At 38.9% G+C, this 18,236-nt stretch overlaps 1 long non-coding RNA gene across 1 annotated transcript in view; it reads left to right on the top strand.

Annotated features, from left to right (window-relative positions):
• Window positions 1-9,715, top strand: part of LOC107986108 (uncharacterized) — a 279,502-nt gene extending 269,787 nt beyond the window's left edge. The window contains exon 4 of the long non-coding RNA XR_001740831.1: window positions 9,617-9,715. This is a non-coding gene — a long non-coding RNA (uncharacterized LOC107986108). The remainder of the gene's footprint in view (window positions 1-9,616) is intronic.
• Window positions 9,716-18,236: the final 8,521 nt, after the last annotated feature.

Below are 18,236 nucleotides of genomic sequence, written 5' to 3'. Positions count from 1 at the left end.
GGAAACACTTTCAGCTTTTTCTTCATTCAGTACAATACCCGCTGTAGATCTTTTGTATATGAATTTTATGTTGAGGTGTGTGTTCCTTCTATCCCTAGTTTTTTGAAGGTCTTTATCATGAAGGGATGTCAAATTTTATTAAATGCTTTTTCAGCATCAATTGAAATGATCATATGGTTTTTATCCTTCATTCTGTTGATATGATGTCATGTTGATTGACTTGCATATGTTGAATCATCCTTGCATCCCAGGGATAAATCCCATTTTGACATGATGAATGATCTTTCTAATGTATTGTTGAATTTGGTTTGCTAGTATTTTGTTGAGAATTTTTGCATCAATATTCATCAGAGATATTGGCCTGTACTTTTCTTTTTTTGATGTGTCTTTGTCTGGTCTTGGTGTCAGAGTAATACCGGCATTCTAGAAGGAGTTTGGAAGTATTCCTTCCTCCTCTATTATTCAGAATAGCTTGAAGAGGATTAGTATTAGTTCTTCTTTAAATGTTTTATAAAATCTGGCAGTGAAGCCATTACGTGATGGGTTTTTCTTTACTGAAAAAGTTTTTATTACAGAGTCAATCTCATTGCTTGTTATTTGTCTGTTCAGACTTTGGAGTTCTTTCTGGCTCAATCTTGGTAGTTTGTATATATCCATTTCTTCTAGATTTTCCATTTCATTGATATATAGTTGCTCGTAGTGGCCACTAATGATTATTTAAATTTCTACAGTATTAGTTGTAATTTCTCCTTATCATTTCTGACTTATTTATTTGGATCTTCTCTCTATTTTACTTAGTCTGGGTAAAAGTTTGTCAATTTTGTTTAACTTTTACAAAATCAAATTTTTGTTTCATTGATCTTTTGTGTTTTTTTATTTCAATTTTATTTCTGTTCTGATCTTTATTATTTCTTTTCTTCTATTGGGGGGATTACTCTGCTTTTTCTAGTTCTTTAAGATACATAATTAGACTAGTTATTTAAAGTTTTTTCCTTCTCTTTGATTTAGGCATTTATAGCAATAAATTTCCCTCTGAGTACTGCTTTTGCTATAACCCATAGGTTTTGGTATGTTGTGTTTCCATAAGCATTTGTTTCACTAAATTTTTCAATTTTCTTCTTAATTTTCATATTGACCCACTTGTCCTTCAAGAGCATATTGTTTAATTTTCTTGTATTTGTATAGTTTCCAAAATTCCTCTTGTTATTAATTTCTAGTTTTATTCCATTGTGGTCAGAGAAGATGCTTGATAGTATTTCATTTTGTTTAATTTTTTAAGACTTGCTTTGTGACCTAACGTGGTCTATTCTTGAGAATAATTTATGTGCCGAGAAAAAGAATGCATATTCTTCAGCTGTTCGATGAAATGTTTTGTAAATACTTATTAGATCCAATTGGCCTGTAGCACAGATTAAGTCTGATGTTTCTTTGTTGATTTTCTGTCTGGAAGATCTGTCCAATGCTGAAAGAGGGGTGTTGAAGTCTCCAATTAGTATTGTATTAGGGTCTATCTCTCTCTTTAGCCCTAATAATATTTCCTTTATATATTTGGGTGCTCCAGTGTTTGGTGCATATATATTTAAAATTATTATATTATCTTGCTGAATTGACACCTTTATCATTATATAGTAAGCTTCTTTGTCTCTTCAAATAGTTTTTGTCTTGAAATCTATTTTGTCTGACATAGGTGCAATGACTCTTGTTCTTTTTTGGTTTTCATTGGCAGGAAATATCTCTTTCTATCCCTTTATTTTCAGTCTATTTGTGTGTTTTTTGGTGAAGTGTGTTTCTTGTAAGCAACAGATCAATAGGTCTTGTTTCTCCATCCAGATAGTCAGTTTATGTCTTTTGATAGGAGAGTTCAGTCCATTTACATTCAATGTTATTATGGATAGGTAAAGACTTACTCCTGCCATTTTGTTATTTTTTTGTGATTGTTTTGTAATATTCTCTTTCTTCTTTCTTTCATTGCTGTCTTCCTCTAGTGAAGGTAATTGTCTCTGGTGATATTATTTAGATTCTTGCTTTTTATGTTTTGTGTATCCATTGTATGTTTTTTGGTTTGAGGTTACTATGAAGCTTGCAAATAGTATCTTATAACCAAATAATTTAACCTGACAACAACTAAATAATATTTGTATAAACAAACCAACAAGCAGACAGAAAACTAACAAAAATTCACCTTAACTTCATCCCTCCACCTTTTAATTTTGGTTGTTTTTAATTTTTGTATTATTGTACTGATTATGTCCTGAAAAGTTGTTGTAGTTATTACTTTTGATTGGTTCATCAATTATTCTTTCTACTTAGGATAAGAATAGTTTACACACCATAGTTATAGTGTCAAAATATTCTGTGTTTTTCTATGTACTTACTATTACCAGGAAGTTTTGTACCTTCAGGTGATTATTTATTGTTCATTAATGTTATTTTCTTTCTGATTGAAGTACACCCTTTAGCATTTCTTGTCAGACTGGTCTGGTATTGATAAAATCTATCAGTTTTTGTTTGTTTGGGAAAGTGTTTCTCTTTCATGTTTGATGAATATTTTCACCAGATATATTATTCTAGGGTAAAAGTTGTTTTCCTTCAGCACTTTTAATATTTCATGCCTCTCTTTCTTAGCCTGTATGGTTTCCACTGAAAAGTCTGCTTCCAGATGTACTGGAGCTCCATTGCATGCTATTTGTTTCATTTCTCTTGATGCTTTTAGGATCCTTTCTTTATTCCTAACCTTTGGGAGTTTAATTGTTAAATGCTTTGAAGTAGTCTTTTTGTTAAATCTGTTTGGTGTTCTATAACCTTCTTGTAATTGGATATCAATATATTTCACTAAATTGTGGAAATTCCCTGTTATTATTCTTGTGAATACACTTTCTACCCCTATCTTTTTCTCTACCTTCTCTTTCATGCCCGTAATTCTTAAACTTGCCCTTTTGATGCTATTTTCCAGACCCTGTAGGCATGCTTCATTGTTTTTTTTCTCCTGTTGATTTGTATTTTCAAATAAAGCCTGTCTTTAAGCTCATTAATTCTGTCTTCTTCTCGATCCATTCTGTGATTAAAAGACTATTATGCATTCTTCAATGTGCCAATCACATTTCTCAGCTCTGGAATTTCTACTTTATTCTTTTAAATTATTTCAATCTCTTTGTTAAATTTATGTGATAGAATTCAGAATTTTTTTTCATGTTATCTTGAATTTCTTTGAGTTTTCTCAACACAGCTATTTTGAATTCTCTGCCTGGAAGATCTCCTATCTCTGTTTCTCCAGTATTGGTCCCTGGTGCCTTGTTTAATTTATTTGGTGAGGTCATGTTTTCCTGGGTGGTGCTGATGCAAGTAGATGTTCTTTGGTTTCTGGGCACTGAAGAGTTAGATATTTATTGTAGTCTTTGCTGTCTGGGCTTATTTTTCACCATCCTTCTTGGAAAGGCTTTCCAGATATTTGAAAGAACTTGGGTGCTATGATCTAAGCTGTTTCTGCTTTAAGGAGCACCTCAACCCAGTAGCACTGTGATTCTTGTAGACTCATAGAGGTACTGTCTTGATTGTCTTGGATAATATGTGAGGAATTTCTATAGATTACAATGAAGAGATTCTTGTTCTCTTTTTCTTTGTTTACTTTCTCCCAAACATAAAGAGTCTCTCTCTCTTTCTCTCTCTCTCTCTCTCTCTCTCTCTCTGTTCTGAGCCACCTAAAGCTGGGAGGAAGGTGGAGTAACACAAGCACCCCTGTGACCACCGCCACTATTACTGTGCTGGGTCAGACCTGTAGCTAGCACAGTGCTGGAACTTGCCCAAGGCCTGCTGTAACTACTCCCTGGCTACTGTCTCTGTTTGTTCAAGGTCCTGGGGCTCTACAATCAGCAGGTGGAAAAGCCAGCCAAGCCTGTGTTCTTCCTTTAGTGTGTCAGGGTCCCTTAGGCCCTGAGTGGGTCCAGAAGTGCCATTCAGGATTCTTAGGCTAGATTCAAAAACTTTAGAAGTCTACCTTGTATTTTATTATATTGAGGCTGATCTGGCACTTAAAACACAAAATGCAGTCCTTCCCATTCTTCCGTCCCCTTTCCAAAGGCAGAGGAGACTCACCGAGCAACCACTGCCACCCTTGGCCACAGGGAGTACTGCCAGACTACCAACCATGTTCCCTTAAGGGCCAAGATCTCTTAAGTCAGCTTGTGGTGAACGTTGCCTGGCCTGGGACTCACCTCTGGCCCATGGTAAATCCAGAAATTGCCATCAAAGAGTCATATCCTGGAACTGTGAGCCCAAAGAGTCTGCTTAGTGCTCTACCCCCTTGTGACTGTTTGGTACATTAAACCAGTAAGTCTCAGAGGGTCACTCAATGCCTTTCAGTAATAGCTGGGTGGTTATTCAGGGTCCAAGGGCTTTTCAGTAAGCAAGTGATGAATGCTGGTAGAACTAAGTCCTTTTCTTCAAGTCTATGGGTTTCCTTCTTGCCCAGGGTGTGTCTAGAAATGTTATCTTGGAGCTAGGGCCTGGAATGGGGGCTTTATCACTGTTATCAGTGCCCTATCTTGCTGTGGCTGAGCTGATACTCAGGATGCAAGACAAAGTTTTCCCCACTCTTCCCTGTCCTCTCCTCAAGCAGAAGAAGGGGTCCCTTTTGGGACCACAAGCTGTGCAGCCTGAGATTAGGGAAGGGGTTGTGCCAGCACTCCCTTGGCTGCCCCAGCTAGTGTCTCAGTTTGTTGTGTGCCCTCCCAGTCCACTGTCTCTGGGCTTAGTTCAGCCCTAGAATTGCCTAAGAGTTGAAGTCCTTGTGACTTAGACTGCCTTTCAAATTTACTGAGAGACTGAGAGCACTTTGGCCCTGCGTGACGAGGTTTGTAGGCACACAAGTTCAGACCATGGGAAGGTGATTCTCCTCTGGCTAAGGCTGATTAAAGGCTTCCTCTGTGGGTAAGCATCAGCTGAGTTTGGTTCAGCTTTTCTTTCTGCTCTAACAGGACTGAACTGAGTTCAGTGCCTTACAGTTGCTGTGTTCTTCCTCACCTAATGCCCAGAGATGATCTCAGCACACTGCTGCTGCATGGAGTGGGGGAGTGATGGTTTTGGCGATTCAAGACTGCTTTTTCTATCTCTTTAGTGCCTCTTTCAGCAAAATGAAGTTAAAACCAGGTACTGGCCAGGTGCAGTGGCTCATGCTTGTAATCCTAGCACTTTGGGAGGCTGAGGCAGGCAGATCATGAGGTCAGGAGTTCGAGACCAGCCTGGCCAATATGGTGAAACCCTGTCTCTTCTAAAAATACAAAAATTAGCCAGGCATGATGGTGTGCACCTGTAGTCCCAGCTACTTGGGAGGCTGAGGCAGAAGAATTGCTTGAACCCGGGAGGAGGAGGTTGCAGTGAGCTGAGATCATGCCACTGCACTCTAGCCTGGGCAACAGCGCTAGACTCTGTCTCAAAAAAACACACAAACAAACAAAAACAAAAAAACCCACAAAAAATAAAACAAACAAACAAAAACCTAGTTACTATGAGTGCCTACCTGATTTTTGGTTCTTACAAGGTGTTTCTTTCTGTGTAGATAGTTGTTAACTTGGTGTCTTTGCATGGAAGATGTTTGGTGAAGCTCTCTCTTCTGTAATCTTGCTCTGCCTCCTATGATATGAATCAGTTTTTGAGAAGCAATAATTTTTACACCAGGGAATATAGTTTTTACAATTTGCTTCTGAAATCTTTGAAATGGGCCTACTTATTTAAAGCTTCTTGATACGTTTAATTCTACCATTAATGTTTTGTTTATGGAATGTCTTATGTTCCCTTCATTATTTACAGATCTTATTCTCTTGCCATGCCCAAGAATTTTAGAACAAAGTAAAATGAAATTGTTTTAAATGATATGGAAGATCATTAATGTTAAATTATTTTAGTTTTAAATATTTGTGTTTGCATTGATCATGTTTGAAAAAAATCCATTTATGATCATTCCCTCTGTGTACTATAACTTTCTCATTGTTTTATTTTTATTATTTATTTCATATAGGATATTTACCATATAGCTTTCGTCTTATTTTTAGTGGAATTAAAGAAAACACATGAAGACATGCTAGTCTTCTGACTGTCATTTAACTTAAAATTTTAAATGTCATGAATTCAGAGAGCTACTTCTATAATAGAAGGGTATGAGTATATCTTTGAAAATGTGTACAATCTTAGGCTATTAGAGTCAGGGGCTGGGGGAAACAGGCAATTTAGATGAGATGGCTAAGACTTCTAAAGGTTAGTAGTCCAATCTAAAGTGTACATCATTCTGCCCCTGTGCCGTCCTCACTGGGCAGAGTACAGAGTGTAAGGGGTGAAGCCTCTGGATGATTTGTCCCCCATCAAGGCCATAGGCATGAATTGGAGATCAGGTACAGTACTTTAGTTAAGCAAGGTATGACAGGCAAAATGAAAGAAGGACCCTTGCTGTAGGGGAATTTGGGAGCTAGGTGAGACTCTAAAACGAGATCTAAAGACAATAATAACACGAAAGATAATCCAGTTGAATAATCTAGGAATACATAACAATTGAAAATGTGTTGGAAATTCTGTAAGAGATCCAGCAGAATTACATTGTATTGTTGATTATAATGCAGAAGTCCCAAGATCAAATTTGATGAAGTACCAATGTGATGAACTGATTCTAAGCCCTTCTGGTTATGCACATGTTAGTGATACTGTGGGAAGAAAGGAGATTGCTGGTAATGTGAGTGAGTGAGATTGCTTATATTTATTCTGATTTATCATTAAGTTGGCTTGGAAACTGCATCAGAGCAGCTTTTGCTATAGTTAAAAGCTCAATGGCTTAATTAAAGCCATTATCTAATTATAGACTTAGGGAAGGCAGATCTAAAAAAGTTAGGTAATAAAGTTCAGGGAGAAGCTGACTGGCACTATCATGTTTTGCTTTTTCAGTAAACTGACTTACAAATTGCATCCTATTTAGCTGAGTGGATTAGTCATGAAGTTGATCTGACTAGTGTAAATATATTTAAAACATTGATTCACTTCAATTCTATTTTTCTCCAATAGAAAAAGTCCGTGGTTAGCTTTTCTTGTAATTTGCTTACTTTGCTGATTTACTTTAAGTTTTTCCTAAAGAAATGACTTAAAATGTCAGTGTCTTTCTAGGAATAGAAAATACCATTGACTTTGAATAAATTTGGTTCAAGTAAAGGTGACAAAAAGACAATGCTCAAATATACAAAGTAACTGCTTCAACAAGAACAAAAAGGATTATACAGATTTAGCCACAGTGCTTGAATCTTCCCAATTCAATCACATTAGAATAATTATGTACAATTCAGTCTACATGAAAGTGGTCTAACTGTGAACATAATATTGTGTTCTTAATTCTTTGTTAACCTAATTCATTTCCTCATATGACACAATACCCCATGTTCACAAATTTACTTTTGAATCAAGAAGAACGAAAAACTTGAGTTCTGGAACAGCGTGTCTTCTTTCACATTCTGATATTATCTAGTTCTTTAGTAGGGCAGCATAGAGGGAGAGCTGACTCACTGGGGAAATTAAAAATATGTGACAGCACTTTTTAATACAAAGCTTCCCAGGAACCAGGCAAATTGGGATTGGCAGTATCAACATCAGCTCATGTTGGGTGGATCTGCTTTGCTCTGGGTGGTCTTTATGCGCTTCCTAGTGGGCAGCTTGTTTGGCTAAAGGCAGAGAAACAGCGCTTCAAGGATTTTGAAATTATCAGGAAGATAAGAAAAGATGAAAGAAAACGGACAGAGGAAAGTACTGTGCTTTAGGGTTTGGGCAAATTAACAAGACGTTAATTTAAAGAAAAGAGCAACGAGTAGGTTTGGGGAAGGGAGATTTTTGTATTTAAATGTATTCTTATAACATAAAAGAAATTCATTAGTTTTATATATGTAATACACCTACACATAAAAACATAGCTAATGTTTAGCAGGCATTTCCCATGTACAGAGGACATTTTTGTGTGTTATATGTTTTGTCTCATTTAACTCTCACAACAACCTTCTGAGGTCTATTCCAAATGTGTATATGAAATGATGCTCATGAGATGAGCCATAGCAAGGTTAAGCGACGTGCCCATGATTCTATCATCTGTAAATGGCAGTCAAGAGTAAACTCAGGCAGTTTCCCATCAGAGACTCTACCCTCTGTCACTCTACTGTACTGTATGGCCTCCTCACAGGATCTCTTTATAAACCACAGACTTTTTAAGATAGACTTCTAATATGGTATGGCACTGTGTCCCCACATAAATCTCATGTCAAATTTTAATGCCCAGTGTTGGAGGAGGGGCCTAGTGGAAGGTGGTTGAATCATGGTGGCAGACTTCCCTTTTGCTGTTCTCATGATAGTGAGTTCTCAAGAGATCTGATTGTTGTAATGTGTGTTGCACCTTCCCTTTCACTCTCTCTCTTCCTCCTGCTCCTGCTATGTAAAGATATGCCTAGTCCCCCTTTGGCCTTCTGACATGACAGAATGTTTCCTGAGTCATCCATGCTACCTGTACAGCCTACAGAACCAATTTTGAAGTTTATGCAGAACCAAAACCAATTTTCTGGGGAAGAATTCAAGCTGGCTGCATAAATTTGCATAAGTAAAGGGGAACTGAATGTTAATAGCCAAGACAATGGGGAAAATGCCTCCAAGGCGTTTCAGAGACCTTTACTGCAGCCCCTCCCATCACAGGCCAGGAGGCCCAGGAGGAAGAAATGCTTTCATGGGCTAGGCCCAGGGCCCCACTGCTCTGTGCAGCCTTGGGACATGGTGCCCTGTGTCCCAACTGTTCCAGCTCCAGCCATGGTTAAAAGGGCCCCAGACACATCTCAGGCCACTGCTACAGAGGCTGCAAGCCAGAAAACACCAAGATCTCCATGCGGTGTTAAGCCTTCAGGTGTGCAGAGGGCAAGAGTTGAGGCTTAAGAGCCGCCATCTAGGTTTCAGAGGCTGTATGGAAATGCCTAGAAGTCCAGGCAGAAATCTGCTGAAGAGGCAGTGTGCCTAGATGTCCAGGCTTAAGTCTGCTAAAGGGGCAGTGTGCTCATAGACAACCTCTAGTAGGGCAGTGTGGAAAGGAAATGTGCATTTGGAGCCCCCAGACAGAGTCCCCACTGGGGCACTGCTTAGTGGGGCTGGAAGAAGAGAGCCACCATCCTGCAATCCCAGAATGGTAGGTCCACCAACAGCTTGCACTACTCACATGGAAAAGCCACAGACACTCAATGCTAGCCTGTGAAAGCAGCTGCAGTGCCTGTACCCTGCAGAACCACAATGGTGAAGCTGCCCAGAAGATTATTTTGGAGATTTAAGATTTGGAGTTTTAAGATTAGCTCCAAAATTATCTACTTTGACTCCATGTCTCACATCCAGGCCACACTGATGCAACAGGTGAACTCTTAAGGCCCTGGGCAGTTTCACCCTCGCAGGCTGGCATTGCTGGGTTTCAGACTTGCATGTGGTCTGCTCTGCTGGGTTTCAAACTTGCATGGGGCCTGTAGTCCCTTTGTTTTGCCCAATTTATCCCTTTTGATCAAAAAAATTTACCCAATTCCTGTATCTTTATTGTACCTTGGAACTAACTAACTTGTTTTTTATTTTATAGGCTCAGAAGTGGAAGAGATGTGCCTTGACTCAGATGAGACTTTGGACTTGGACTTTTGAGTTAATTCTGGAATGAGTTAAAACTTTAGGGGACTGTTGGGAAGGCATTATTGTGTTTTAAATGTGAAAAGAACATGAGGTATGGGAGGGGTCAGGGGTGGAATGATATGGTTTGGCTCTGTGTCCCCACCCAAATCTCATGTCAAATTTTAATCCCCAGTGTTGGTGGAGGAGCCTAGTGAGAGGTGACTGAATCACAGGGGCAGACTTCCTCCTTGTTTCTCTTGTGATAGTGAGTGAGTTCTCATGAACTCTGGTTGTTGTAAAGTGTGTGGCACCTTTCCCTTCACTCTCTCTCTTCCTCCTGCTCTTGCCGTGAGAATAAGTGCATGCTTCCCCTCCTGCCATGGGAATAAGTGCATGCTTCCCCTCCTGCCATGAGAACAAGTGCATGCTTCTCCTTTTGCCTTCTACCATGTTTGAAAGTTTCCTGAAGCCTCTCCAGCCATGCTCCCTGTGCAGCCTGCAGAACTATGAGCCAATTAAACATGTTTTTGTATATAAATTACCCAATCTTAAGTAGTTCTTTATAGCAACACAAGAATAAACTCATACAACCCCCATTATCATTCAGCTAAATATGGTTGGGTTTTTGGAGCCTCAAGCATGAAGGTGAACTGGCTATGGCTATACCAGCCTGAAAGGATTGAACTCTCCCCTGGAATCCCAGAACAAATTCCTTCAACTGAAAATGTCTCTCCTGTCTCGAGGAGCAAGTCCCCACAAATTTATTTTCTCACTTTCATCCAAACTCTGATAATTCTGGAAAGAAGACCAAAGATTTGTCAATAACAGGCACTCTTAGGGCAGTGTCTGTTCCCTGAGCTGATCATAGGAGCATGTTGGGAAATTTCATCAAATGTAAAATCAAAGCCTTGTATTAGACTTAGCAAAAGTTAGCCGTTGGCAAATTGTGAAATTGGTTAAGTATGCCTGTGGCACCTTCCCACTTTCATAATTAATTTTTATGCCCTCCCACTTGGCTCTTATAACCCTACAAGTACAAATAATTGGTCATTTGTGTGACTTTCTGTTTATTGCATGTCTCTATTTAACTTGCTATAATTTGCATATGTGTGGAGACTACACTTGTCTTTTTGGCTACTATATCCTTCTGTCCCCTAATATTGTACCTGATTATGGAATACGCCAATTTATTAAATGAATAAAGTTTTTTTAAATATCTTGACCCCTTTTTGGAACATTATATAGCACAAAAATAATTGTTCAGTGACTGTACCTTAACTGAATGGATTGTATGAGTAATGGAAGTGGTTAAGATATGAATCACTCTGGGATTGCATTTCCACAAAACTTTTCCAAGACCTATCATAAGAGGGAGGGAAGAGTGAGACCTCCCAATACACTGTATATTTACAAGAACTGCAAAACTTTCAATGGTATGTTTCTTTACTTGTAGCAGGCTTTAGGTTTCAACCTGTTCTCTCTAATGCCTGCCACTGTCTACCTCATCTCTGTGACTTCTGTCTCCATGTAGTTGGCTGTGAAATAGGATGCAGTTTCTTCTTCTTCCCTTGCTATTTTTGTTTAATGGACACAAGTCCCTATTTAATCACCTGGAAAAGCTACCAGAAGGGGAAGAAAGCAAGCCACATTGAGAGTATACACTACTCTTACTAATATAATCTTAGGCCATTTGTACTGTTTTTGTTTCTGGGCCATATTGTAAACTCTTTGGTATGGAACAATAATAATCAAAATTGCTTACATGTATTGAGTACATGTTATTTATTATACTCATTTGACACTTTAAACTGTTTTGTCATTTAGTCTCAAAATGGTTTGGATTTACAAATGAGTACACTGAGGCTCAAAAAGGAGTAGGCCGTTTTCAAAGGTAACTCAGCTAGTAAGTGACAGAGATGGATCTGAAATCCAGGTCTCGATTATCCCAAAACTTTTGTTCTCACTGTCCAACGACTGATTTAAGACAAAACGTTGCTGGCTTCTAATTTCAAGTGAAAAAGTGTTATTTCTAAGGATGTCCAGAATGGATGAAATGTAATTTATTAAACTTCCCCTCTTACGTATTTTGGCAATTCTCTCTCATCTTTTTAGTATATGAAGCAGTGACTCAGAAAACAAATTCCCAGAGTGAATGAATACCTGTAGCCCCCTAGTGGCCTAAGAATGTTATCCACTTCACAGTGAACTGGGATAACTCAGAAGCATTTCCTCATCTGACTGCCTGTCTCCCTAAGAGAGACCTATGTAACAAAAGAATTTCTTTTTTTTTTTTTTTTTTACTTTAAGTTTTAGGGTACATGTGCACAACATGCAGGTTCGTTACATATGTATACATGTGCCATGTTGGTGTGCAAAAAATTTCTAAAAAGAAAAAAATTATATTTAGTAGAACTTGAGAGACATCATAACATCATAACCTTTTTTAGAGCATCTTTTTTTTTTCTTTTTTTTGAGACGGAGTCTCACTCTGTCGCCCAGGCTGGAGTGCAGTGGCGCGATCTCGGCTCACTGCAAGCTCCGCCTCCCGGGTTCACGCTATTCTCCTGCCTCAGCCTCCCGGTAGCTGGGACTACAGGCGCCAGCCACCACGCCCGGCTAATTTTTTGTATTTTTAGTAGAGACGCGGTTTCATAGTGTTAGTCAGGATGGTCTCGATTTCCTGACTTTGTGATCTGCCCGCCTCAGCCTCCCAAAGTGCTGGGATTACAAGCGTGAGCCACTGTGCCCGGCCTAGAGCATCTTTCTTTAAGTATCCATTGGTGGTATGTAAGCCCCCTCCTCAATTGTTTGCCACTGCACGCTCTTTCTGTGCTAAACAAAATCCATCCGATGAATAGAGAAGTGTGGGTTTGGGAAAATGCTAGGTTACCAACAATAAAAAAAGGTCTACTCAAATAATCAGAGTAGTAAGTGACAAGAAGAAGGCTTTAAATCAAATGTCCTCTCATTTATTGGTTCACCCTTTAAACACCTGTTGTATGAGAGTTTACTATGTGACAGGGACTGTATGACATTGTTGATTTAAAGACAAGAAGATTCAGTTAGTGTCATTAAGATGCTTACTGTCTAATGAGAAAGACGACATACCAGAAAAATCGTAACAATCTATGCTAAGTGCTATAAGGTACCCTGAAAATATAAAAGGGACATAGAAGGAAAAGCTCCTAAATTTGCCTGAAGCTATCAAAGAAGGTTACACTAATTAGATAAATTCTGTTATAAAACAAGACATTTGGAAAAGAGCTAGCCAGAAGCAGAGCTGGGCAGAGAGAACTCCAGGCCAAACCCAAATGCAGAAAGAAAAGAGTGTTGGTTGGAGAGTCACAGGTAGTTGGGTATTGCTGGTATACTTGTATTGCAAAATGTATTATCCTGAAATTTATGGAAAATACTTGAAGTCACTGGAATCATAATATTCCTTGCATTTTAGACTAATAGTCTGTCAGCAGTATTTCTATTGCGATGAAACGCAATAGAAAGTATTAGGGCGTGACCAAAGTCTGTAAAATTGGCTGTTAAGACAAAAGAGAGGGAAGAAGCTAAGGAGATAGAATATAATAATGTAACGAACAGCTATTGGTATGTTTTGATGGAGGCTTGGGAGCCTAAAGAAAATAATGAGTGACTGTGTCTCTTCTAATGTGAAACATGATAAACAGTGCTGTAACAGCCTTTGCCACCATCACCACTCCACCGCCAGCTTTTCCTTTTGCCAGGGCAGCTCATTCAGCCTCCAGCCCCTGAGAGTGGTCTGTATTGCTCATAGCTGCCACTCTTCCCCTAGAGCATTGTTCTCTGCTGATAAAAACCACTTAGCCCAAGAAGTTACACTCCTCCAATCTTCATGCTAAGGCCACCTTCAGTTCAATACTGCCTGATGTAGATGACAGACTCGCTTCAAGTTAGGACTAACACTGTGGTGTTCTTTGTCCTCTAAAGCAAATTCCGTGAGGTTATACAGTAGCCAGTATCTAGTTGAGTCCACGTTCTTCTTACTTAGCTTCTTACTTACTTAGCTCTTGACCTATTTTAATTCCCTCTTTCCAATTCTTTTGGTAGTATTTTCAGAAAAAAAAAATCACTTTGAAAACGATCTCTGTTTCTGGTTCTGCTTTTTGGGAACCCAGCTTAGACATCAGAAGTGACCTATCCCTCAATTTACACTTTGCCTTTCTTCCTCTTCAGCAAGTAGAAAATATATGAGAAAATGTGATAAGTAACAAATAAAGGAACATCAATCTTTGGAGAACATGCCATTCCGAGCATGAGGACTCTCAGGAACTGTTTCTGTTGCTGTCTTGATCCTCGATCCATCATTGTCCCAGTCAGCAACTCTGACCATGACTTTATCCATTTACTAAGCATCAACATGTCTGTTCAGTTGATGTGATTGTGACCCGTATTTCTGACTATATCTCAGCCTATCATGTACCTTGTTGCTGATAAACTTCTAAATCAGCCATGCCCTATGACACTGGCTGACCCTGTTCTCTGCCTATTAATCACACTTCTCTAAAAATTCTGCCTAAAACATGCCCTGACACAAATTGGTCCTTTGCTATTGTGTTTTGGGCTTAGGCCCCACAACACTGGCTTTCCAATGTTGTAACTAAGACTGCTTTCATTAAACAATGCGTTCCCACAGGAACATTCATTTAAACCCCATGTATTTGGTAGTTCCTCTCTTCTAGTCATGTGCTAACTGCTAGGGGTATAGAGATGAAACAGAATAAATAAATCTTGGTCCTTATTTGAAGTAAATATGAACACACACATACATACATACATATATATGTGTATATAAATACACACATATATATATATGGTGAAAAGATGGGCTGAAAAATGAATAAACCTATATTAGTAAACCTATACTAATTAAACCTACATAATTAAACTGATATTAATATACCAATATTGAGCAGCCAACATTTAAGAGTTTACTGGATGAGCATATGCTCTTCTTTAGTCATACTGCCTTTGGGTTCGAATCCTGACAAATATACTTTAATAAATATGATAGCAAATTATTTAGCCTCTCTCTGCTTCAGGTCCTCATTTTTAAGATTAAGATAATAAAGTGCTTAGGATTGTTTTAAAAATTTAGAAGATACTTAGGATAGTGTCTATTGTTGAGCAAGCACTCAATGATTGCTAGCTACTGATAATATCCATCATTTGTTAGTTTCCTTAGACATCATATCATTTAATCATGAACGGCCATACATAAAGACTACTGTTCTCCCATTTGACAAATGATGAAATAAACTTTCATAGAACTTACATGATAATATGAAAGGCTAAAATTCAAATCCAGGTCTCAGTTTGTACTATTTCCTCCAAAGGCAAGATGGACCTACAAACAAATAACGTCAGTATAATATCCTAAGTAATAGATACAGTTATCTATATAGTCCATAGGACAAATAGATATAACAATTAACTTTACCTGAGAAGCCGCCCAGAGGAAATGATAGTTGTCATGGGTGAAAAACAAGAAAATATGGGCCATTCCTCCTCATCTTTTTTGAAGGAGAAAGTAGGAATAGTATACACTTAAAATTTGGAGGATAAAATGAAAACCATCTAGGAAATATTGGTAATATCATCATTGCTTCCATACGGGAGAGTGTAAGGAGTGAAGCTGGAATAGTAGACATTATATACTAGAATAAGAATGGTGTATTAGCTAGAGTTCTCTAGAGGGACAGAACTAAGAGGATATATGTATATACGAAAGAGAGTTTATTAAGGAGAATTGACTCACACAGTCACAAAGTGAATTCCCATAATAGGCCATCTGCAAGCTGAGGAACAAGGAAGCTAGTAGTAGCTCAGTCCGAGTCCCAAAACCTCAAAAGTAGGGAAGACAACAGTTCAGCCTTTAGTCTGTAGCTGAAGGCCTGAGAGCCCCTGGCAGACCACTGGTGTATGTCCAAGAGTCCAAAATTAAAAAAAAAAAAACAAACTAAGTCTGATGTTTGAGGGTAGAAAGCATCCAGCACAGCAGAAAAATGAAGGCCTGAATACTCAGCAACTTAGCTCCTTCCACCTTCTTCTGCCTGCTTTTCTAGCCACGCTGGTAGCTGATTGAATGGTGCCCATCCACACTGAGGGCATGCATGTCTTTCCCCGTCGACTGACTCAAATGTCAATCTCTTTGGGCAATCTCCAGAAACACCCAGATACACCCAGAAATAACGCTTTGCATTCTTCAGTCCAATCAAATTGACACTTAATATTAACCATCACAGATGGGAAACATTTAAGAATTTTTGGCAGAGTAGTGAATGATCATATTGATTTATTAGAATAATTAGATCAAGAGCTGTTTGCCAAATGTTCTAGAAAAAGGTAAAACCAGCTTAGGGATACCTATTAGAAGTTTGCTTCTGCAGTCTAAGAACTATTGAAAGCAGGAGTACTTTAAGGGCAATGATGAGACAGAATAGGTATTTGAAGAAATCTAGAAGATGACGTAGAGACGATACTAAGAAATTTCTGGGAATACTACTGAGACGATAATTTTTATATGTTTTACCTAAAATTTCTTAAACTAGTTAGGTGGATTTTATGCTTCACATGAACATTACAATTTAAATAAATAAATGACTGTGATGGCCATGAAAATGTGCTTGCAGACCTCCAACTACAGGAAGCAAATCAATTGACAGCACCAGCTTCTCTGCTTTGAAACCTGTGGCTTCCTGAAGCAATGCTTCCAAAGGGCTATTCTCAGCCAGTGATTTGATATAGTAGGAAGACTAAGGCAGGCTCATGGCTGGGAGACGCCAAACTACTCCCGTAGACAACTTTGGCTCAAGGGCTCTCCAAAATTTTGCTGAACCTCCCTGAGACTGTCTGACAATCAGGACATTTCCTTCCAAGTTCCTCTCACTTTCTCCTTTATTTTGTATCAAATTGCATGCATCACAATCTGATGATCTCACGGAGCCTTCTTCTATTCTTTCTCAATTCCCCCCCCCACAGATTTGGGAGCCTCTTTCCATTGCTCCCTTTTCTTTCTAAGAGGAACGGAATTTAATGGAATGAACGACAACCCTTTTATTTATTTATTTATTTATTTTTTTGCAGCTGTTCCCCTCATCTTTCTTTTTACTATCCATTCTGAATTCCTCACATCTTCAGCTATCATGTCTGCTGGTCTTTGTGGTTTACGACCCACACCTTCATACCTGAAGGGACAGAACCTTTGATAGGCACACTGTTCTGTTTGGGGTTGTGGCACATGTCCATTTACAATTACAGTGGAACAAGGGAGTACTAGGGTGCTCCCATGAGGATCATCTGGGTTGCACAAATATTTCTCTTTGTTTCTATTTTGTAAAAGAGTCCCTACCCACCACTGATTGGGGTACATTATCCCTGACAGTATGGTGATTTCTGTTTTTTCATGCTTGCCCTTGGGTACAATGTGCCTTAACTTGTAGTTCACTGAGACTCTGGCTGTGTCTCTTGGTAGAAGTTTGTCCCTTTTAGGAATCAGAACCTACAATTCTGTAGAAACCAGAGTTGTGAAAAGGTGAATTCCACAGTGAATCACTGGGAGCTATGGTAAATGGAAACATTCCTGATTCCATATCTTGTATGCTGGATGTATGTTGTATGTGGGGTTTTTTGGGAAGTGGGACACAGCACCACACAGAAGTCTCCAATATAATAAACTTCATGCTGACAGGCAGCACTCCCTCCTTTCAGAGGGCTTCCTCTGAGCTGGTCTTTCAGCTGCACCTTTAGAAGGCTGTCCCAGCATTCCTGACGATGTTACCCATTGGATGATATAGCATGTGATATAACCAGCAGATTCCATTGTTTTGGGCCTATTGCCATAACTTTTTTGCTAACAAGTGGATCCCATAGTCAGATGCTGTGTTGTGTGGCATCCCATGCCTGTAGATCAGGAATTCTGTAAACCATGCATACCTGGAGCTTGTTGGCACACACACACACACACACATGCACACACTAAGTATCTGTCTCTTTGATAACAAACTACTGGGCTACTGACCAAAATAAAAGTGAGGCAATACAGTCCACTTGCCACAAACTGACCATTTGATCTTATCAATGGATAGTGCTATGTTGGTGGCTCAGCATTGGTGTTTGTTCTGATGGGTTTGGATATTCAGAAGGAGCCAAAGCTAGATTGGCCTTGGTAAATGGGAATCTACGCTGTCAGGCCCTTACATAATCTCAGTCTTTGCCACCTGAGCCACTCTTTTCTTGTGTCCATTTTGCCAATTTTGACAAAATTTGGCTTCTATCAAACAGCTGACAGCATTTTGTCTGCTTGCTTGTTCACTGACTTTTCCATGGTGGACAGTTTGTGCTTGGCATTAACATGTGATACAAAATCTTTACACTTTATGCCCATGCTGGTATGTCTATCTATATGCTTCCACATGAGACACTTAGGGCAGAAGGGTAGGATCAAGGCAGCGGTGACTGACAGGGATTCTTCTAGAAACACTTGCTATTAGGAGGAAGTTTTCATTGATATTGTGACAAAGAAGAGATTATCGAATAGCCATCTATACATAGCTAAATATTGG

The sequence above is a fragment of the Homo sapiens genome, chromosome 3, assembly GCF_000001405.40.
Source record: "Homo sapiens chromosome 3, GRCh38.p14 Primary Assembly".
NCBI classification, from domain to species: domain Eukaryota; kingdom Metazoa; phylum Chordata; class Mammalia; order Primates; family Hominidae; genus Homo; species Homo sapiens.
The sequence above is the reverse complement of the archived record's forward strand: the minus strand, read 5'-3'. Positions and strand labels throughout refer to the sequence as shown.